Below are 23,834 nucleotides of genomic sequence, written 5' to 3'. Positions count from 1 at the left end.
GACAATAATTTAAAAGGCACTATATAGAAGTGAGTTCCTGAAGGAGCTAGAGTCCTAACATATCTTAATCTTCTATATACCACACATTTTCTACATACATTATATTCATGTTTGTGTATAAAAATAAACACACCCATTTAGAACTGTATGTTTTATGTAACAATTCAGAGGTATATTGCTTTTACTATTGTTTTAGTGTGCAGTGAATAGCTTCCACACAATGTACCATTTGGGAAGTAAGTTAACTTTTTGGTTTCATGACATTCATTATTTGGGGAATATTCATTACTTTGTGGTTATTCCATCTGACATTTCTTCCATGCCATTTTTTTTTTTTTTTTTGTCTCTTCATTTCCCAGAGTTTTACTGTGTTGCCCAGGCTGGAGTGCAGTGGTGCAATCATAGCTCACTATGGCCTCAAACTCCTGGGCTCAAGCCACTCTCCCGCCTCAGCCTCCTGAGTAGCTGGGACTACAGGTGTGCACCATCATGCCCTGCTCCTTCTAGCATTTTATTTCCATGCCTATTAGGCCACAAATATGAAATTTCTTTTAGCTAATGACAATAACTGTGTAACTCCTTACACTTTGTCTCTTTCTTTAACTACCAGGAAACCAGGAATTCTATCTGCAGCTCAGTTTTAGAAATATGTTTTAGTTTCTTGCCCTGGAACACCTTTATTCTTCTGTCGATTATTTTTCTTTTTCTTATTTTACAGTCTCATGGCTAATGGCTTCTATTGTGCTTTTTTGCCGGAAATGGGGTTTCCACTGGGAGTTCGCATTGAATAAGCCCAGGTAATCCTCCTGGAGGATAAGAGATGATGTGGAGAGAACCCTAGCTGGGCGCCAGTCCCAAGCAGCACAGGCACGAGTGTGGACACCTTACACCACCCAGTCTGGGTGGAGAATTGAGGTTACTGCCATCCAGTGAGCTGTTTTCCAAGGACTGCAGCAGAATAGCCAAACTAATCTCAAACCCAAATTACTGGCCATAAGCAAAGCGAGCAAACAATATAGCTAGTACTTTAAAATATTTAGATTGAGATATTTTAGTGTAACTTGTTTCTCAGAAGTAGATAACTAATAAAATAATTCAGGTGTGAGAAAACACAACTGAAATCAATGGTCAAGGGAAACATAATTATACATTTATTATTACTGGGTGTGGGAACAGTACATTGAAATTAATAGCAAATGAGGATTAATTCATTCTTAGCAATTTTGAGGACAATAAAATATTTTCTGCTTATAAAAGAAAGACTATCTGCCTCTGATAAAAATGTCAGTTCCATAAGAAAGGCTGCCCCATGGGGACATTGACTGTTTCCCAGACATAACAAAATTCTGTTTTTAGAGATAGACCCACAAGTATATGGGGAAAAAAATTATGTGATTTAGGATAAAGAGTACACAGAAGTTCAGTAGGGAAAGGTTGATATATTCAATAAATGATGCTGAGTGAATTGGATATTAAGTAGAAAAAATGAATATTGACCCCAATTACACATAATACATAAGCATCAGTTACTAGCACATTATATACCTAAATGTAAAGGTCAAATAATAATAGTTCTAGTACAAAATAGAGAAGAATATCTTCATGCCCTTACGGTATAGAAAGATTTCAATAATCAGACAAAGAAAGCACCAATCAAAAAGGAAAGTTTCGAGAGATTGAACTTTACATTTTAGAACGTCTTTTCATGAAAGAATTAATATGAACACAGTTAATATGTGTTCATAATATGAACAATTAATATGAACACAGTTGGGTACTTGATGATACAAAGAAATTATCTTTTTCATATTGCAAAATGATGTTTTTTAAAATCACTATATTTAGAGATGAATACTGAAATATATACAGATGAAATAACTGAAAAAAAAAAAACTATGCCAGAGAAGGAAAAATGGATGGCATGTGTATTAGTCCGTTTTCACGTTGCTGATAAAGACATACCCGAGACTGGGCAATTTACAAAGGAAAAAGGCTGAATGGAGATCTCACAGTCTACGTGGCTGGGGAGGCCTCACAATCATGGCAGAAGGCAAGGAGGAGCAAGTCACATCTTATGTGGATGGTGGCAGGCAAGGACAGAGCTTGTGCAGAGAAACTCCCATTTTTAAAACCATCAGATCTCGTGAGACTTATTCACTATCTCGAGAATAGCACTGAAAAGACCCAACCCCAGGATTCAATCACCTCCCACAGGATACCTCCCACAACATGTGGGAATTCTGGGAGTTACAAGATGAGATTTGGGTGGGGACACAGAGCAAACCATATCAGCATGATCTACACCAGTGTTTAAAAATTAAGTGTATGGAAATTAAACAACCAACAGTAGTAGGAGGCAGAGAAAAGTAAATATGACTGGTATAGACATCTCCATAACAAAATTACATACTTTTTCTCATAAAGTTATTTCTAGTACATATATTATTTTATTTTTTACAGTTAATCAATAATCTATGCTGACTTTCACTTGGTGGGCAATGAAAAAATACACAAAATTTTGAAAAATCAAAGTCTGGGATGGATGCATTTCTCAGGAAAGAAAATGAGAAATCATAGCCAGGTGTGGTGGCTCATGCCTGTAATCCCAGCACTTTGGGAGGCCGAGGCGGGTGGATCACGAAGTCAGGAGTTTGAGACCAGCCTGGCCAAGATGGTGAAACCCTGTCTCTACTAAAAATACAAAAAGTAGCCAGGCGTGGTGGCAGGTGCCTGTAATCCCAGCTACTCAGGAGGCTGAGGCAGGAGAATCGCTTGAACCTGGGAAGTGGAGGTTGCAGTGAGCCAAGATCATGCCACTGCACTCTAGCCTTGATGATAGAGTAAGACTCCGTAAAAAAAAAAAAAAAAAGGAAAGAAAGAAAAAGAAAGAAAGAGATAAGAAAGAAAGAAAGAAAGAAAATGAGAAATCATAAATTCAAGAAGAGAAGTGTAGAGAATATGCAGAAAAGTTGGGGTAATACTACATACTTTTTCAGGAATTCTAGAGAAAAAAGTCATCAGCACTTCTTCATTTTTTCCTTGCCAGGCAAAAACTGAAGGGCTAATGTCAGGGGAGAAAACCTGTCTCTTTTTAAGGCTTAAGATGATTTAATACCAAGCACTGGGTGGAGCCTGCATCTGCTGTGCCAACCAGGACTTTGGTCAGCAGGAAAGGCGATGACAATATCTCAACATATTGCTCTTGAAATTAAAAAAAATAGGGATAAATGGGCTGGGTGTGGTGGGTCACGCCTGTAATCCCAGCACTTTGGGAAGCCAAGACCAGCAGATCACTTGAGGTCAGGAGTTTGAGACCAGCCTGGTCAACAAGGTGAAACCCCGTCTCTACTAAAAATACAAAATAAAGCTGGGTGTCATGGCGTGTGCCTGTAATTCCAGCTACTAGGGATGCTGAGGCAGGAGAATCACTTGAACCTGGGAGGCTGAGGTTGTTGAGGTTGCAATGAACCTGGGAGGCTGAGGTTGCAATGCCATTGCATTCCAGACTGGGTGATACAGTGAGACTCTGTTTCAACAACAACAACAAAAATAGGGAGAAATGCTGCTTGAAGCCAATTGATCAGGAAGTAGTGGTGCCTCAACCCAATTCACTAGCAGAGGGTAACATTCCCTCAAATCATTTCCTTCTTCCCAAAAGAGGGCAAAAAAGCAGCATCACTCTTAACCACCTGTTGGCTACTGCCCCAGGGGCACCGACCGCACCCACCATATGGGTGGTCTTACAGCCGTGGCTGCCATAACACCCTACCACAGACCCCGTGACTTAAACAGCACAGATGTATTATCTCGCAGTTCTGGAAGCTGCAAGTCTGAGATTAGGGCGCCCACACGGTCAGGTTCTGCCTTCTTCTAGGTTGCAAATGGCCAACTTCTCCCTGTGTCCTCATCTGGCCTTCCTTTGGTGTATTTCCTTTGTGGAGTCACCAAGTCTGTTGGACAACACCCTATGGCATCATTTAACCTTAATTACCTGCCTAAAGGCCTTGTCTCCAAATACAGTCACCCTGGGGCTTCAGGCTTCACCGTATGACTTGCGGCAGGACACAATTTGGTCCCCAGCAAGGGTGCTGACAAAGCGAAACACTATCAGTCGGCAGAGAAGGGACTATTCCATGAGGATATTCAACGCTGGTTCTGCAAAGTATCACCAAAAAGCCCGCTGAAAAGACAAAGCCAGGTTCACTGCTTATGCACCCAGGGCCAGCAGTACTCCCACAGGGAATCCGTGCTGAACCATTAGGTAAAACACAATTCAGGATATTTATTGAGACTGAAAAATCTGACTTATGGTGCATCTTTCAATTCAGGATATTGGTTAATTTGGGGAAAGATTATGATATAATTGTTTAGAATTTGTGGCCAGACAATGCCAAGAATTTTGAGGCCGAATTGTTCAGAAAGTCTTAGACTGTTTTAAACTGGCTTTTGATTTTCCTATTGAAGAACGGATGAGTCTTTGGAGTAAGCAATAAAGTTAGTTGCAACTTTATCTTCTGGTGCAAGCATCTCCTAGGATCCTAAGCGAAACACAAGTAAAGTTATGTTCTTGAAAACAGGGAATTATAAAATCATGTTAATAAAAATGGCAAGCTGCGTGGGTGGTTTCCATCCTCAAAGGAGAACCGACTATCTACAGAGGAAGGAAAGACATCTGGAAGAGGTGGCTTACACTGAAGAGGGAGAAAAAAAAAAAAAGATATTTTACACAACAAAGGCAAACTCAGTAAGATACAACTGCAGTGCCCAAATGGCTTTAAGAACTGAAGAGAAAAACAAATTTAACTAGTACACTTAGAAATTCCATGAAGGAAATGGGAAAACTATGGGTAACGTATGAGATCCATTGAAGCCTCGTATGTATAATTCATCCAAGAACAGTAGACCCTAAAGAAAACAGAAGAGACCCCAGAATATGAATGATGATGAAAAAATATTTAACAATAAAGTTGGTGTATTTGTGATAACTGATGACAAAGAAAATTCACATAACAAGTTATTACAAATGAGAAATAAGATAAACAAAATAATTCAATAATTTGCATTGCTTAATTGTGGAAATCCCAGTAATTCAAAGCATAGTGAAACTCTCATGGTGGAAATAAGGAGTGAAGGTAAGAACACAAAAGTTGACTGAAGGAATGTGAAGCAGGTCAGTGAGTCTCCCTCAACATCCCCTTCTCCCCTAAGGGAGCCGGGGTGTCAAGAGAAATTAAAACAGAACACCCCAGACTCTGGGCGTTGGGTGCAGGCATGCAATACGGTACTCAAAACAGGTTGATGGGCTGAAAGTTAATATCCTGAACTACAAAATCCTTTGTTTCCGCCTTCCAATGGGGCCTCGGAACATTGTCAACCAGTCATATACCTTTCACCCTAGCAGAAGGTTGATGAGATTTTTTTGCTGAAACTTAACCATCACTGAGAACATATATACTTATGCTGATGCTTGGGCCCCCCCCCACCCCACGATGAAACGGCCAGATGGCGGTTGTCACCTGATTACCCTTAAATGACACACACTGGCTGTTAAGACTCGGTTATTCACGCAAGCTTTAATTACCTTCCTAGGCCTCTCTTTTAAATAGAAGTGTGTAAGCAGTCTTGGGCCTCTGTGTGTTCGCGGGAGACTTCTAGAGACCAAGATAAATGTCAAAAAGACCAAAGAAATAAACAAGCAAAGAGAAGTAGGATGTTGGGAAAAAAAGAATCAAAATAGGAGTTGAAGAAAATAAAACTTTAAAAACTTGTGCCACAAAACCAATTAATATCATGAATAAAAAATGGGAAAAGTACCTATCAGTATAAAAATCAGAGACACAATTAGATAGAAATATTAAGACAAAATATATGTGAATTGGAAGGCAGATCCAAGAAAAATAATTCTTATAATGCCCTAAAGGAGTAAAACTGGATGGAGATGCAAGAATTAACAAGCAGTAAAAAATTATTTTTTGTGGATAAAGAAAAATGTGTTTTTGAATTAAAAAGTGACAGTGAATTGCAGAGGAAATAAATTTTACAAATAGTCTGGATATATTGATATACCCAAAAATCCTGAAGATGGAGTCAGAATCACATGCGCTGCCAGATTGTACAAGTAGACAGAATACAAAAGAGAGTCACACTGATACCACCTCTCCTCCACAGTCCTGGAGGCTTGGCACAGTCATCAGTGTCTTTAAGCTACTCAGGCAAATGAAATGTCTTCAAAACCTAGAGAACTCAGGCTACATGGTAAGAGAAAGACTTTTGTCGACGTACCACTTCCCAGGCACTATCCGCATCCCTGTACCCAACCTGAGAAAAGGTTTGAAGTATCCTAAATGTCAGTTAAATCAAATTAGATATCTGTAAGAGAAAATAAAAACAATAACAACAATAACAAAATGGTAAGAAAGAATATTGCAATTTGGGGTTCTCTAACAGTGTGCCCATGCATCGACTATAAAATAGGCATTGTATTAGACCATTTTCATGCTGCTGATAAAGACATACCCGAGACTGGGTAACTGATAAAGGAAAAGAGGTTTCACTGACTCACAGTTCCACGTGGCTGGGGAGACCTCACCATCATGGTGGAAGGGGAACGGCACAAGATACATCTTATATGGCAGCAGAGAAAATAAGAACCAAGCGAAAAGGGTTTCCCCTTATAAAACTCTCAGATCTCGTGAGACTTATTCACTACCAGGAGAAGAGTATGGGGGGAAAATGCCCCCGTGATTCAATTATCTCCAACCAGGTCCCTCCCATGACACATAGGAATTGTGGGAGCTACAATTCACGATGAGATTTGGGTGGAGACACAGCAAAACCATATCAAGCATTTATCAGAAAGTGAAGAAACTTAGGGTTAGAGGACATTCTAGCAATAGCCAAAAACTGATTAAATCTTCTGCAGTACCTTTGAAACATCCCAGAAGTTTATGTGTCTTCAATGCCTTATGGAAATATAATCAGTAGAATTTTAAAGCGTTGTAACAATTTCAAAATGTAATGAAGAAACAAGAAGGTGAAGAGTCAAAATAAGAAAATGGCATAAAACTGCAACATATAGAAAACAAAGCTGAAATAGATATTATGAAACCAAGCAGATCACTTATCAAAAATACATGTAAATGGCTTAATTTGGCCATGAAAAGACCAAGATGATCACATTATTTCAGCTGGTAACTCAATTTTTGATGCGGAGTAGTGGCAACATAGGAACCACTTAGAAAGATACATTTGGCAGCTGGATATAGAAAGAATTAGAGAGGAGAGGTGATCCTTTAGGAGACAGATAAGTTGTTTTGAAGGTGCGTGATGATTAATTTGAAAGAATCCTAGCACCACTGACAGAAATACTAGTCAGTGACAAGAAGGTGAAATGACGCGTTGGATTTTGGACGTGCTGGGCACTGAGGGTAATCGTGTATATTTAGGGCGCTGAAGGTGTGCATATTTTTCATGATTCGGTCTTGGATACCCTCACATATTTCCACACTGCATCTTTTCAACCTTAGCAGGCAAAATGACCTCAATAGAGCCCGGAACCGGAATCCAGAGGACACGGGATGGTCCAGCTCCCACCAGTCTGCTTCTGGGCTGCGCATTTGCTATTACTATGGCACATGTTTATTGTGGAACATTTAAGTGGGAAAATACTTACTGGAGTGTTATTTTTTTCAATTTTAAGACTTTATAAAGTTGTGTGCCATTATCATAATCATGATCATCATCATCATCACCAGTATCTATTCCCCAGCCTCAGCTGGTCCTTCTCTGTTGATAGCTACCGACCAAGATGGTGTCCACCTGTCCCTCAGCCAGTCTCAATGTTAGATGATTTCTTTCTGACCTCCCTTTATGGAGAGCATTTACTTTAGAACACTGCTCATGATGAATTCTTTCTCTGTCCTTTGAGATGTAAATCTTTGTCCAGTCTCTGGCCAGTTTTACAGCTCGGAGCGACTTTTCCAAGGCTATGGGCACCATCCTTCTGGAATGCAATCATCAAGGTAGGGGCCCCTTTCCAGTCTCTGCTGGAGTCCAAGTTGTAAAACTACCTTTCTGTCATAAACACAGGAGAAAATCTACCTTTACTTTGGGGAAAGCAATTAGCAAATGCAGGTGACCTGTGATTCCCCCACTCAGCTCTTGAAACTCTCCATTCTTTTGTTTCAAGGAAGCTGGATTTCCAGACCATATCTGTCTGTGAGCGCTTCCCTATTGCTGGTAAAAGTGTAGGAATAAAATAAATATATAAAATAAAATTTGTTTGCTCATCTTGTACAGTGCAATTTTTCTTTTAAACTACCTAATCTATATCTTGTATTATATGTGTATATACATTTTCTATATTCTGTGTGTGTGTGTGTGTGTGTGTGTGTGTGTGTGTGTGTATGTATTTTGAGAAGGAGTCTTGCTCTGTTTCCAGAGTGGACTGCAGTGGCATGATCTCAGCTCACTGCAACCTCCATCTCCTGGGTTCAAGCAATTCTCCTGCCTCAGCCTCCCGAGTAGATGGAGTTACAGGTGCATGCAACCATGCCCGGTAATTTTTCATATTTGTAGTAGAGACAGGGTTTCACCATGTTGGCCAGCCTGGTCTCAAACTCCTGACCTCAACTGATCTGCCCGCCTCGGCCTCCCAAAGTGCTGGGATTACAGGCACGAGCCACCAGCTCCGGCCCCACATATATATTTTTAACGTCTGATTGACATTGCTACCTAAGTTATTCCTGTTTCTAATAAACTCTAAATGCAGTTTCGTAACACAAAGCCTTTAAAAAGCAGGCTTCTGTTCTCCTTTATTTCCCATGGACACAGTTTAAGATAACTCAATCTTACACAAAGAAAGTAGCATAAGGCTGACAGTACTCAAGTCTGCCTTTAAAGACTTTTATGATTGCTTCCCGCGTTTCTATTAGATTTCTCTGCATTCTTGGTCTTACTGGGCATCTGCCTCACATAATTCTGCAAACATAATGAGTTACATGGTTTAGGAGGTTTCAGTGGCAAGCAGCACATCCATTAACTAGGAAACCCTCCTGAAAAATTTTGGTTAGGATAAGCGACTTCTGAAAGGTAGGGTCCATGTGCGTTTTAAAAATGCTTAGTGAAGTATTTTTGGGGGAGGAGTTAAATTATTTAGATAATTTAAAAATTCTTCTACCTAGTTGCATATGCACCTGTTGCAATCAGGGTCTTAATCACCATTGATTCCTTGGTTCTCTGCATCTCTCTATCACACAGACATGCTACAGGGCGCGTATGGATACCTCACCCCTCTTCTCTACTTTCCACTTTTTTTCCAGAACCTGTCTTCTTTCGGTGTTTCCATCCTGGGGACTCTTTATATTCTTGCATAGATTCTCATTCATCTTTAAATGTTGCTTGACCAGAACAACATGAGGTCAACGTGCATCTCAGGTCCCACACACCTACCAGTGTCCTGGACCTGGGGCTCACTGTGCCCTTTCTCACCTCATACATCCTACGTCATGTTCGTTGTCCTCAACCTGTTCCAGCAATTATCAGACCGGAGTCAGAATCTTACCCCTTGCTTAGTTCAGTGATGATTTCCTCCCTAGCAGGCAGGACTTTTGTGTTCTCTTCTTTATGGAACTAAATTGTTGGACAAACCCAGACGGATAGAGCACCGACCAGGGTTGTCACGTGCGCCTGCCAATGTGTGTTCTCCTAATCAGCACTTCGTCTCCCCCTGATGCTGGTGCTGAGAAGCAGGAACCCACAGACACCGACAAAGACTCCCTGGTCCCCGTCTGACTAGGACATCGATGCCAACTGGCGAGAGTGGGTTAGCATCTGCAATACATCTGAGTCTAGAATACCTTAGAAATTAATTTGCTTCTACCCGGCTTCCTTTTGAGAACTACTGCCATTGCCGCATCCCTAAATAAAGTGATCTGAAAATAAAAAATAAAAAAAAAAAAGGGAAGCCATCTTGTATTTCTAGGCAAAATTAACCTCCCCAAAACTCTAAGGTAAAATTGACCAGGGCGATCTGCATAGACCCACAATTCTCAGCATATGCATATCACACAAGATGAGTCTTTTCATATCACCCTTAGATGCCCTTTGTATAGATTCATTATATACACACAATGTATTATTTTCCAAAACAATGGGATAATCTTGGGAGATTTTTGGAAGCACTAAGAATATGAGTGCTGTATTCCAAGTACTTTTGAGGATGAATTTCAGCTGTACAAAAAGGATGACTGCTTTTTTCCTTTCTTAATTCCTTTAAAATTTTTATTTTTATTTTAAGTTCTGGGGTACATGTGCGGGATGTGCATGTTTGTCACATAAGTGAATGTGTGCCATGGTGGTTTGCTGCACCTATCAAGCCATCACCTAGGTATTAAGTCCAGCATACATCAGCTATGTTTTCCAATGCTCCCCAGGCCCCAGTGTGTGATGTTCCCCTCACCGTGTCCATGTGTTCTCATTGTCCGGCTCCCACTTATAAGTGAGAACATGTGGTGTTTGGTTTTCTGTGCCTGCATTAGTTTGCTGAGGATAATGGCTTCCAGCTCCATCCATGTTCCTGCAAAGAACATGACTATGTTCCTTTTTATGGCTGCATAGTATTTCATAGTGTATATGTACCATACTTTCTTTATCCAGTCTATCATTGATGGGCACTTGTGTTGATTCCATGTCTTTGCTATTGGGAATAGTAATGCAGTGAACACATGCATGCATGTATCTTTGTAATAAAATGATGTATATTCCTTTGGGTATATATGCAGTAATGGGATTGCTGGGTCAAATGGTATTTCTGGTTCTAGATCTTTGCAGATGACTGTTTATTAAGCTACACTCTGAAAACTGTGCAGTAGATATAATTAAATGTAAGATTTTATGTTCCAGAATGGTGCTGCTGAGAAATTGACTCCTAGGCCATCACAGCTGCCAAGCAGGGAGCCCCTTGTCTTTTTTAACAGTCACAGCAGGAAGTGCAGCACTAAATGTGTCCTCTGTGATGTGTATATATTGGTCGGTGTGTAAAAACTGTGCAGAGTAGGAATTTATACATCATAGGGTTAAAAGTATTTTGAACCACGAGGATATGAATATAGAGCCAGCTGTTTGGTGGTTTGAGCCCAGCTGAACAGTTGGTAGCTATTGATTCTGTCTATCAAAACACAGAAACATTGATTGTGTATAAAAACAGTCCTCTTTTCAGAGACCACAAGTCTCCTAGCGATGACTCCACAGGAATGCTGATGAAGGTTCTTAATAATTCCTACAAATATTTGTTTTTTTATAGCATGTTACATTGTGCAAAGTGCTTTCAACTCATGATTTAAATATTGCAATGACCTTATCACTCTGGGTGACCTCGGAATTGCCTTCCAGATTTTTAAACTGTAGGACTATGGATTCAAAGTAGTTTAGTAGAGGAACTGACCTTTAGGCTGATCCATGAAACATGAGTCACTTTGGCATCCAGGAGAATGTGTGTTCCATGATCATAATTTGAAAACTCAGTAGAAGCATGATTCCCACTGCAGGCTCTCTCTGGATGCTGTGGTCAGAAGCTGAACACAGGCTACATGAACTCTTGCTTTATTTCAGCACAGGGCTTCTGATATTGCAATTTATACCATGTTTGTTTCTAGCCATTTTCTTTTAGAGAGTTTTTATTGAGTCTTGCCAAGACTACACAATGTTCACATTAGAAAACCTAAGAGAGCCTTGTGAATAACGGCCCATAAACCTGGGCATATGTGTGTTCCTGAATGTACCCAGCTCGGGGACCAAAAATCAGTAACACTCAACACCTACTGACTATATAAAGATCAGACCAGGGACGTGGTCACACAGATACGTCTATGTGGAGGGGTATTTCAGAAATTAACAAGACAACCTAGAGTGGTAAAACTCAACACCTACTGACCGTATAAAGATCAGACCAGGCATGCGGTCACACAGATAGATGTATGTGGAGGGGTACTTCAGAAATTAACAAGACAACCCAGAGTGCAGGTTAGGTCTGCAACATGAGGCGAATCTCCAGCGATCCTAGGAGGAGTGCAAGCTGGATGGGTGGTACCGTGACGGAGAGAAGCACGTGCCTAATACTTAGAAGAAGAAATTCCAAGTGGAAGTCAAGCTGCCAGTGCTACCTGAGGCCCCTTAATTATGATCAAAATGACACCTACTAATGTTTAATTCTTAATTACAGCTTGTACATATCTTCAAGGTAATTTAAATCAATATGCTAATATTTAAATCAATATGCCACATCCCTTATATCATCATTCTCTCTCTCTGATATCTAAAGGACTTCTTTTCCCCTTTTTTCTCTCATTATCCAGGGCATTCCATTTCACAATTAAGCCTTCTGCTCAGGGAGAGCTTGTCCAGAGAGAGAACGGATGCTGGTAGTGATGAAGGGAGAAACCTGGGGAGGGTCGCATCTCTCAAGATGGAGGGTTATTTGGAGCCAGCACCACATGCTTAAAAACATTTGAGCATTTAAATCATAGATTATTAAAGGAAAAAGGTTATATATCTGAAATGTGGCTAACAAAATTGAATTCTCAAAGACATGCATGTTAAGTTTTAGAAAACGTATCCGTTGGTATTCTTGTTTTGATTTTTCTGTTTTCACCATTTTCCTAGTAGCTTGAGGAGGAGGGATAGCCACAGGGAATAAAACACTTTTTATAACTTTTAACCTAAAAATAATATGTATTTTTCCAGTGCAAGAAACATTATATCATCCTGGGAAATCATAGCTGACCGGGGACCCAGGGAAAACATTATTCTTTGAAAATAGAGTGTACTCAGCTGTTCAGCACCTTTAAAAAGATATCAGAAATCATATTTATTTTCATAGAATTCCGTATCTTGATTTTAATCCAGATTTTAATCCTCCCATGACTTTACCTTTATATCACTATTAAGTTTATTCGCAGATTGGTAAGTATGTCTGATTTTTAAAAAATTTTTCCTGGGAGAACTTGTACTGACGAGAATAGCCCTCTTACTTTAAAATTGCTAAAATCTACTCTCAATGTATCAGCAAAAACAGAGGAACAAAAAAGAAGAAAGAACCTAAAAGATAAAATTATTTTGGGGGGGAGAAAAAGGTTTCCAGATTTGTAGTTATCATAGTTTAGCAGAACTCACCAAAAGTTTAATCTTGTTATAAAATGTTGTAAAAATAATTAGAATGTATTCATAGCGAATCTTAAATCTCTTTTCCCACTTAATTTAGATTCTATAAAATATTGACTTTTTGAAAGAAAAATGTCATTGGGTGCTAAAGAGCTCTTAATAATAATGTTGGCCTCTAATGGACCTAAATATTTGGCTTTAGAATAAGAAGTAAATGAACCTAGAGTGACATTCAATCATTGTAAACGTTGGTGATACAGAAGTGGCCCAGAGTCAAGGAAAGATGAAAACAAACCAAGAATCTAAACTGGTTCTAAAGCTGCAGCTTCTTCCACTCTAGCTCAGGTATCACATTTTAGGAACCTATATACCCAATTTATCTTGCATGATTTTCTCTACTTCTCTTTTTACTGGCATTCATACAATGCTTAACTCAGACAAGATAATAATTTACTTTCTTAATTATCAGCAATTAAGTTAGAAAATGAATAGCCAGAAAAATTTGGAAAATTCCCATATGTTTTGAAATATGTTTTTGAAATACACTGCTAAACATTCTTTTTATCACAAATATATGGTCAAATGTAGAAAATTTTTTGAACTGAATGAAATAATGAATGGAATATAATACCCTTCATATACTAAGAAGGACTCACAAAACATCTGAATGCAAATATCAACAGGGAACAACAAAATATCTTCCTCTGAAAGTAGAAATAAGGCAAGAATGCCCACTCACAGTTCTTCTTAACGCCATGCTGAAATTTGTGCCCACTGAAAAAGGAAAGAGGAACAAAAACAACCTCTAAAATATGTAGCTTAGAAAAGAAGAGTAAAATAGTCATTCTCAAATGACATAATTAAATACATAAAAATCTAAGAGAGATATACATATAAAACATATATATCAAAAAATTTTAAAAACTTTTCTGTATACCAGCAACAAAAAATTCAACAAAATATAATTCATAATAACATCAAAGGTGTGAAATAACTGGAAATAATTACAACAGATTACCATATGTTGTATGGTACCAGAACCATATGTTGGAACTTATACAATTTTATTGGATTATTAAAGGAGATATTTAAAACTGTAGACATAACAGGCTCATGGTTTGGAAGATTTAATATTAAAATATGTCATTTAGGCTGGGCATGGTGGCTCATGCGTGTAATCTCAGCACTTTGGGAGGCCAAAGTAGGACGAAAACTAGAACCCAGGAGTCTGAGACGGCAGTGAGCTATGGTCATGCCACTGCACTCCAGCACTGGCAACAGAGCAAGACCGTGTCTCAACTTTAAAAAAAAAATGTCAATTATTCTCCAATTCATTTTTGGGGTAAGATGCAATTTTAATCAAAAGCAAAAATGTACTGAAACTAACAAGCTGATTCTGAAATTAATGTGGAGATGGAACGATTGAAAGATATCTTAGATATTCTTGAAGATGAACAGGAAAGAGAGCTTGCTACGCAAGAATTCAAGTTTCTACTAAAGCTATGGCAATTTAGGCAGAAAGCTGGTAGTGCCAGGAATGACATCAACCGGTAGAACAAAACAAAGAGCCCCAAAAGAGACGTACACGTGTAGAAGTCCTGTAAGAGGAGACACTCTGGAGCTCTGTGGATGAAGAGAGACCACTCAACAAATGATGCTGGAGCAACTGGATCTCAACTGTGGAAAACCTTCCAAAGGTAACACACAACAGGTCTCCAATCTTAATTAAAAAAAAGGGGGAAAGAACAATTGAAGTCCACACTCTTATAGCAGGAACCATCTCATAACTTGTCAATAATTTTAAAAGCCTGGAATTTTAAGACTGAGTTGAACATGGAGCAATAAAACCCCCATACATTATTATTAAAGTGTGATATTTACACACACGTGTACACACTCATGCTCACTTTGACATGCAGTTTCACACACCTTTATCTAAAATGAGTTTTATAATTTAGAAACCTTTGGAAATTATGCGGCTAATACAGTGGACCTGCCATGTATTAAGAAATCTAAGGTTTGGGCCATCCCCTGCAGTCCAATGTATTTCTGTTTTTCCAGTGACGCATGCAGTGCTCACCCTGAGAGGGACCCCTGCACACTACACAGAGCCGGGAGTTTATTTTACTGCCAATTTTCTCAAATTTAAATAACCATTTTATACTTCCTGGTTTCATAATTGAAGAAATAGAATTCTGTCCTGCATCTTTAAGTGTTTAAGTTACCCGCATTCTATGACCTCCACTTCCCTCCAGCACACCTGCCCTTAAGAGGCTGGCCCTGACGGGCACTAGTGTAAACACACCCCAATGCTCGTAGGTGTGCACCATGCCACGTGCAAGGGCGTTCAGAGCAGCATTGTGTGCGAACCGTGCTGAAAACAGTCAAAATGGCTGTCAACAATGAAATGGATACATCAGTTGAGATACTTGTATACCGTAGAACACTGTGTTGCAATGAAAATGAAGAACTTTATAGCGATGTGTAACTGCGTATAACTGCATGGGGGTGTGTGGTGTTTCCTACCTTCTGTATCCACTCCCACTCTCTTGGTAATGTCTCCAATTATGTGGCTTATCATATGATTTTCTGATGATGCCCAGGTGTTTATTCCTAGCCCGTACCCTTCTCCTCACCTTCCCATTACCTGTATATCCCGTTACCTTCTTGAAATGCCCACTTAGCTGACTACCTTCCAGCGTTAAGCCACAAACAGCCTACATTCAAATCAATTGGAGAAGATGTCTACATTAAAGTAGGTGAAAATCCAACAAATCACTTTCAGCTATCATTTACTTTTGATCATTTGACAACCAAACACTTTTTATATGATTCTTCAGTCATAACCTTTGCAATGTTAGCTACTCCTCTATATTTAACACAAAGAAAACAAAGTGATTTATTTTCTTTTAAGATAATGTTTTATATATGATGATGATTTTTAGTCAAAATAGGATCGTTAAAGAAATAAATGTAAAATAATCGATTGACTTACGATATAATGTTTCATGAAAATGAAGTTTGTTTAAAGATGGGATCGAATTTACTAAAACTCAGCTGGGTGCAGTGGCTCACGCCTGTAATCCCAGCACTTTGGGAGTGGATATGGTTTGGTTCTGTGTCCCCTCCCAGATCTCATGTGGAATTGTAATCCCCAAGTGTCAGGGCAGGGGCCTGGTGGGAGGTGGTAGGTTATGGGGGTGGATTTCCCTGTGCTGTTCTCGTGATAGTGAGTGAATCCTCATGAGATGGATCTTATGGTTTCATGTGTTGGCACCTCCCCTTTTCTCTCTTGCTCTCTCTTTTGCTTTGCTATGGTAAGGTGTGCTTGTGCCCCTTTGCCTTCCGCCATAGTTGTAAGCTTCCTGAGGCCTCGCAGCCATGCTTTCTGTACAGCCTGCAGAACTGGGAGTCACTTTAACCTCTTTTCTTCATAAATTCCCCAGTTTCAGGTAGTTCTTTATAACAGTGTGGAACCAGACTAACACAGGGAAGCTGAGGTGGAAGGAACACTTGAGCCAGGAGTTTGAGACCAGCCTGGTAAACATAGTAAAACCCTGTCTCTATTTCAAAAAATTAAAAATTAGCCAGATGTAATGACACACACCTGTAGTCCCACCTACTCACCTACTCAGGAGGCTGATGTGGGAGGCTTGCTTGACTCCAGGAAGTTGAGGCTGCAGTGAGCTATGATCACACCACTGCACTTCAGCCTGGGCGACTGAGCAAGACCTTGTCTCAAGGAAAAGAAAAGAAGAAATATTGAAGTTACTAATACTAAAATAATATATAGGGAGCCCACTAGAGAAAAGCATTGACATAAAATATATTTAAGTAAAAAATGGAATTTCATTGTAATGTAAAAAAAAACGATATGTTCCTTGCTGCTGAAATCCGCCTTATGGAATAATGAGATCAATACTCACAGAACTGCAGACAATGAAGAACAGTAACCCAAATACTCCTTCCGGAACTGACAGGACTCCTCGCTGCTCACTTCCTCTCACAGGTAACAAGGCATCATTCATCTAAAGATGGTTTCATGGACCCGAAACATGAGCTGAGTGTTGTGAAATCTCTTTAGAAAGATTTTCTAGGGTCACGCTGAATGTTTCTCTTGTCTCTTGATCGGAAACATCTGGTGTCTTTTCTTCCCTGTGGTCTCAAGGTAAAAAAGATGAAGGTTTTCAGTTCTCTTATTTGTTTCTAAATTTTTTTTCTAGAGTGTCCTGCAACCAGTAAGACTATCAAGAAAAACAATTAATATTTGGATAACGTCTTACAAAAGTCTTCCTACATTATCACATTTGATATCAGTATATTAATATACTGGTTAATTAATATATTGGTTTAGCTATTTACTACTTACTATTTTCATCTTTACTACCACCTTCCTAAGGAGGAAAATCAGCCCCAAAGAGGTTGAAGTGACTTGCCTAAAAGTGGACTAAAAAGCAAAGATAGTCCCATCCTGGCCTACTTGCTCAAGATCGATTAAAGCTTCCCAGTCCTGATGAGATCAGAAAACTTCATTTTTGACACACAATTCACATCACAGACATTATACTTTGTGAATTCTTTTAATATGACTTTGTTTCTCTTACTTGAGAATTGGCTCATAAAAGGTCCATTCAGTTCAAAATATTTTCACTTTGTCCTTTCCCATTATCTCCTGAACTTGTCCTGTGAAATTTGTTCTCATCCTTTAGGGTGAAATTAAATACCCACTTCCCTAAAGAGAACTTCTGGAACTCCCAACTTAATGAGGCGCTACTTCCAGGAGTTCTGAGCAAACAAAACAGGCCTGCAGGTCTTGGCATGGCACTTGAGGGTCTGTGCTGGGATTGCTGACTTCTGGGTGTGATTCCCATTACAGATGAGACAGGTGCATGTTATGCAAGAAATGGTGAGACTTTGGAAACGTTTACCTGTTAATCCAGAACTCCATGAGTCTCGGTCATGTAATCTACAAAATGAGGGAAATGTTTCCAATTCCTATGGACTTCAGATAATAATTCAGTTATAAATTAGATTCCTATTTCAGTGATTGTCTGTGTTTAGCAAAGCATGATTATATCCTCTTCCCCTTCAGGGTCAACACTGGCTCTGACTTCCTGGGCCAGCTTCTGTTGACGGCATCTCCAAGTCTAGGCAACTGCCTTGGTCTTGCTGTGGATCTAAATTGGCTGGTTGAATCTAAAGTTTAGGAAAAGGCTTCAGGGCCTGTGGACCTGTGAAGAAGCCTTTCTGTGAATTTCCCTCAAATACCGTCGAGAATGGCTAAGTCTGGATGCGGCTGATCACTTCGCCTCGTGGTCAGGCATCCCCAGAATTGATTTGCTTTGGTGGTGTCCCCATACTGGGGACAGACATTTCACATAAGAGATGGAGGAACTGAAAGTTGTTTCATTTGGGTCATAGAATGATGTTTCCTTTTAATTTCTCTGTAGAAATGTACTTCTTCTCAGGCCTTTTCCTTTTGGTTTTCTCTTATTTTCTTCCATATCCAGGTGAGGTAAGACTGGCCTCTCTGGGGACCCCAAAAATTAGAAGTCAGGAGAGTTACAATGTACTCTTCTCTAGGAAAGAGACTGTCATGCTCACCTGTGATCTAATACAAGTTCCAGACATTTGAAGCAGGGATCTCAGGCAGCATATTTGGAGGTGACACGCCTAGCAATTGATGAACACTATTTACTTGAAAATATTGCTTTGTGTGATTCAAAGAGAAGTGACGAAAAGCATCAAACTGACAATTCAGTGCTACTGGAATTACCTTTAAGAAGGATAGAGGAATTAACTATATTTCATAGATAATACCCAGATGGATTTATGTGCTGACATTTGAATAGGATTATACTAGCATCTGACACTTCCAACTCAGCATCTATCGCTGCGTTCTTCTGTATCAGGAAGTGCTGCTGCCTCTGTTGAAACAGGAATGCACTTACATTCACCAGGTGTGTTTTCTTTTCAAATAGTGAATGCACTCAGTCAGAGCTCCCCAAACCCTCTCCATCTTCAGCCTTGAAATTCTATCAGGCCTCTGTTGTTGAGATCTGTCCTTGGGCAGCTATTAAGGTCACACCACTTTCCCACAGGCAGTGCCACTCCAGGCCATTTTCCATCTCCCCACAGTCTCCAGACTCTTGGCCTTGGTGGTCAACTTTTGCCTTGCCTTGCAGTACATCAGCCATCGTCTCAGTGGGATTCCTAATTCCAGCTGCTCAGCTGATCCCTCCTGACATATGGTCCCTCTTACCCTGAGTCCAGCCCATCTCCGAAGCCACCCTCCTCCCCACAGACTCACGGTCTGTCTCCTTTTTCATCTCATCTGTGTTCTTTCTTATTTAGCACAGTTTTTATGTTCATCTTGCACAATGCTGTCTCTTCCTGAAGACCTGATGCACGTCTCAGAACCTGTGGCCGCCCTGGCTGTGTGTGAAACATTTGGAGATACCTGGAGTACGGACAGTCACCTCTGACTCCCCACTCAGAATCACCAATACTACAGCTCTGGACGGCACGTCTGAGCCATCCAGCCACAACTCTGCAGGAGCTCCCACTGGAGGGTACATTTCCTTTTTCGGCTTTTGTCTAAAGTCAGGCCCTCTGTTTTTGACTCAAAACGGTTAAACAAAAGTTATGGGAGGCCATTGATTTGGACTGAGCTCCTGCACTAGACTCCAACAAACCAGAACAAACCAAAATTAAAGAACTCATAACAGAACAGAAACTTTAAGGAAGCAGATAGTTCACAAATCAGACCAGTTTTTCTTAAAGACAAGAGATTCCAGTGTACTTGAATCAGTGTCATAAGAAAGACCCCTATGCTTTTATCTTTTAAGAAAAGTGACTGGAGGTAACCGATGTTAACCCACCATTTTTTTTTTCTTTTGTGTCTTTCTTGTTCCCACCTTACAAATCTCACTGTCTACCATTGCCCAGGGGAGCTGTCATTCTGTTTTGCAGAAGAGAGACTGCCTCATTCATGAAGCACAGAGAAAAGCCAATTAGGTCTATAAATTTGTTGTAATTGTGTCTTTTTTGTCCTACATTTTGGACCCTGTGTCAAACAGGAAAATCAAACTGATCTGCCCTGATTTCTACTGCCTATGAATCTTCTCTGCCTTAGAATTTTCTACCTCTTTTTCCTTCCAAAAAATCAATAGCTATTTGCAGGGCCTTATAAACCTCTATTCTGCAGTTTTCATTCAAATTAGTGAATACAAAGTAAATCACTTTCAGAAAAAATAAATTCCCATTTTTTGTCGACACGGTAACAGCAGTTTTTTTTTTTTTTTTTTTTTTATGGTACACAGGCTGAAGTGATGTTCCACTGGGAGAAACACTTAAAGTGGTTAGTTCTTGGATGGAAACATATGAAGACCTAATTCTCATGTAATTTCACTTGGTGAATCGAAATTGTAAGATCTGAGAGATTACCTACAAAAAGCAAGTTGATTTTGGATTGTGCAGTGAGTACCATTTGACAGAAGTATTTTAACTCCTATTTTCATTTTATTCCCTTTCTAAAACTAGCTCAGATCATAGTCAGGCGATTGCTTCATTCTCAGCTTTGTGGAGAGTGATATACACAGATTCCAATCCATTCTTCTAATTGCAACTCACTATTCAAAACTTGAAGGCAACAAGGGACTCTCTAAGGGTTATTGGGTGAGTACTACCAAGAGGCTGTGTAGTTTGGCGACAGATGCTCAAAATCACACTGCAGTGTCCTAGTGTTGGACCTGAGACAGGGAAGGTGTCCCTCCCAGTGAAGCATTCAATTTGGAACATAATTACCGCCATGCCATCCCTACTTGATTATCATCAGTTTTCATTAGAGATGGGCTTTCCTCGATCTTAGGATACTTTTATAACATGCAGAAATAGCTTTTGCTCACAAAAAGGATGTACTATCCATTATGAGGAATTTTTCTTCCAGCACAGAAAGAATCACAAATTGCTAAGCTTTCAGATCTGAAGGAGACAACAGGAAAGGATCTCCGCATTGAACAGAATGTGGTTTATAGGAGCCAGAGGTCCAGATAACAGGGGATTATTTTAAAAATCTAGCACCTTCTGAAATTCTATTCCGCCCTCCTTATTCTGCATTCAGAAGAGATCTTTTGGAATTGTAAGACAATTTCGTACAGGAAATACAAAGACTGATGTGATCAGTTTTACCTTTCTGGCGTCTTTTATATTATTTTCTCTCTTTCCATTACTCCTATTTCCCCCCCCTTTTTTTTTTTGTAAGAAATAGAATTATCCAGTGTAGTCATGACAGAGCCTTGTGTCATTGGGTCCTAAAACACACTGAAACAAATGCCATCAGGCTCCAGAGTCAAAACGCCGCAAAGAATATTCACCTTAGAACCAAAGTATCAAAATACTGCAATAAAATACATGTTCTCAGAATCATGCTCCACATTTTTCTAAATCAGATTATTTCACTTCTATCCCTTCAGAATTGTCAATCACCAAACTACGCCTTTGAAGTTGGCTGGGAGGTCACAGGTTTCTTCTCTGTTCGCTCACATAAGGTTTTCTCCTGTTGATGATTTTGAACACTGGCATCTCAGCCAGTGAAGCTGAAAGAAGAGGAAATTTCATTTTCCAGATGTTTTTCTCTAAGAAGATAAGACTATCAGAACTATCTGTCCTCCTTTCATTTTCTCTCATGGTTTTTGATCATAAAATAGAGTATGAATCACTTTGTGATTTCTTTGTGGTTTCTCCCTTTCTTTTCAACCATTTCCCACGTCTAAGCTCAGTGCTGACAATAATGTGGACAATTGACATTTACAAAGCACCCAGCAGGAATCCGTGTCCCTCACGGTGGACATCAGCATCAGCCCCATTTCACAGATGGGAAAGAAAACTTGATAATAAAAGTGTAGTGAATTGTGCAAGACCAGTCAAGTAGTAGGCGGACAGTCTCTTCTTCTCTAATCCAGTAGCTTGTAATTATTCGTTTCTATAATGTCGTGCAAACAATAGCTTATTTAAAACATAGAATAATGTTGCCAAACTTTTAAAAATGGCAACAGAATAGTTTTCTCTCTGTTGCTTGGGAATCAGATTTGACAAAGTTTGTGGACCTGGATAGTTCCAGCTGAGAAATTCTGCCTTTGAACTCAGCAGGTTGGAAGGGATGGAGTGGGGGAAGAGTTTTCTCTTCTTCCTTGATTCTCAGGTGTCGTTACTGAGAGTCTCTGAGAAGGCAAGGACACAGGATGGGGCATGACCAGGACCAAGCAGAGGCTTCCTCAAGCCCCCGACAGAGCTGCTTCACTGCTTCCTGCCCAGGTGCTTCTGTGCCCATCCACCCACCCTCCCCAGAATGGGTCTGGAGCCGGTCACCTGCCAAGTCCTAACACAGCCATCAATCTGCTGAGGTTCCAGCCCATTCCAGTCACTTGTTTTGAATTTGTTTGGAATGAACTTGTATCACTTCAACATTTATATTTTAAGCACTTTAAAACTTGCTTTTTTTGAAATGGAGTCTTACTCTGTCGCCCAAGCTGAAGTGTGGTGGCATGATCTCGGCTTACTACAACCTCCATCTCTGGGGTTCAAACGAATCTCCCTGCCTCAGCCTCCTGAGTAGCTGGGACTACAGGCATGAGCCACCATATCTGACTCATTTTTGTATTTTTAGTAGAGACGGGTTTTCACCAGGATGGCCAGGCTGGTCTCTAAACTCCTGATCGCAGGTGATCTGCCTGCCTCAGCCTCCCAAAGTTCTGGGATTACAGGCTTGCGCCACCATTCCTGGGCTAAAAGGTGTTTTGTTTGTTTGTTTTAGTTGTTTCCTTAAATTGGCTATGTCATGAGATGATGCTCCGTGGAACACTGGGTTGGGTAAAAGTGAAACAGTGAAGCAAGACAGGAATAATTTTTGGAAAGTTAATGTCAGTATGAGGGGTAACTTTTACCATGTATTTTCTTTTTCCTTGTCTTTTTGCACTTAGAATCTTTCCCTATCAGCTTTCTGAATAAATATCTAGTCTCCTGCAATTGATGTCCGTTAAACTGAGATTTTTTATTTACATATGTAAATAAATGGCTCAGGTAATGAAAAAACACAGCATTGTAATCACAAGAATGGACTAAATCCTTCACGGAGGAAAAGACTCAAGTGGTTCATGGAAAATGACACCAGGCTTCAAGCTCCCTGTCTTACTTGTAGGTTAGAACAAGGCCCTGAAACTTGTCTTTTCTAAAATATTTAAAACACGCTCATCCAACAGGCCACATGCTGCCCAGGGTGGCTTTGAATGTGGCTTAACACAAATTCATAAACTTTCTTAAAACGTTATGAGATTTTTTTTTTCTCATCAGCTATCATTAGTGTTAGTGTAGTTTATGTGTGGCCCAGTGAATTCTTCTTCTTCCAGTGTGGCCCAGGGAAGCCAGGATATTAGACGCCCCTGCCTTAAAAGCTGAAATGCAATTAAGAATCAGGGAAATCCCATCTTCCAGTCTGCATCATCTGGTTTTCCGTGGAGATTCCTGTTGAACGATTCCCTCGTTATCTCCTCACGATGCCCCACGGCACTGGCAATATGCATTTCAAAATGCCAGTAGGTGGTTTTGTTGGTTGATCCTTGAGCATGTACAGTTGTTGGTGGATTAGAAAGCGCAGACGAGCTTTGAATTTCTGTAGA

The 23,834-nt window shown here is 39.9% G+C and overlaps 1 long non-coding RNA gene across 5 annotated transcripts in view; it reads right to left on the bottom strand.

Moving 5' to 3' along the window:
* LOC105377785 (uncharacterized) overlaps positions 1 to 23,834 on the bottom strand; it is a 297,276-nt gene that overhangs the window by 172,570 nt on the left and 100,872 nt on the right. For 2 of the 5 annotated variants that reach the window (NR_168444.1, NR_168441.1), the window contains exons 3-6: positions 17,085 to 17,313; positions 16,786 to 16,890; positions 14,744 to 14,878; positions 13,898 to 13,932 (exon numbers count right to left, since the gene is read on the bottom strand). This is a non-coding gene — a long non-coding RNA (uncharacterized LOC105377785). Of the gene's footprint in view, positions 1 to 3,991; positions 4,156 to 13,814; positions 13,933 to 14,743; positions 14,879 to 16,785; positions 16,896 to 17,084; positions 17,314 to 23,834 lie in introns of all 5 variants that reach the window. The other 3 variants (NR_168442.1, NR_168443.1, NR_168445.1) reach the window with 3 other exon arrangements.

This window comes from Homo sapiens, chromosome 8, assembly GCF_000001405.40.
Source record: "Homo sapiens chromosome 8, GRCh38.p14 Primary Assembly".
NCBI lineage: Eukaryota > Metazoa > Chordata > Mammalia > Primates > Hominidae > Homo > Homo sapiens.
The sequence above is the reverse complement of the archived record's forward strand: the minus strand, read 5'-3'. Positions and strand labels throughout refer to the sequence as shown.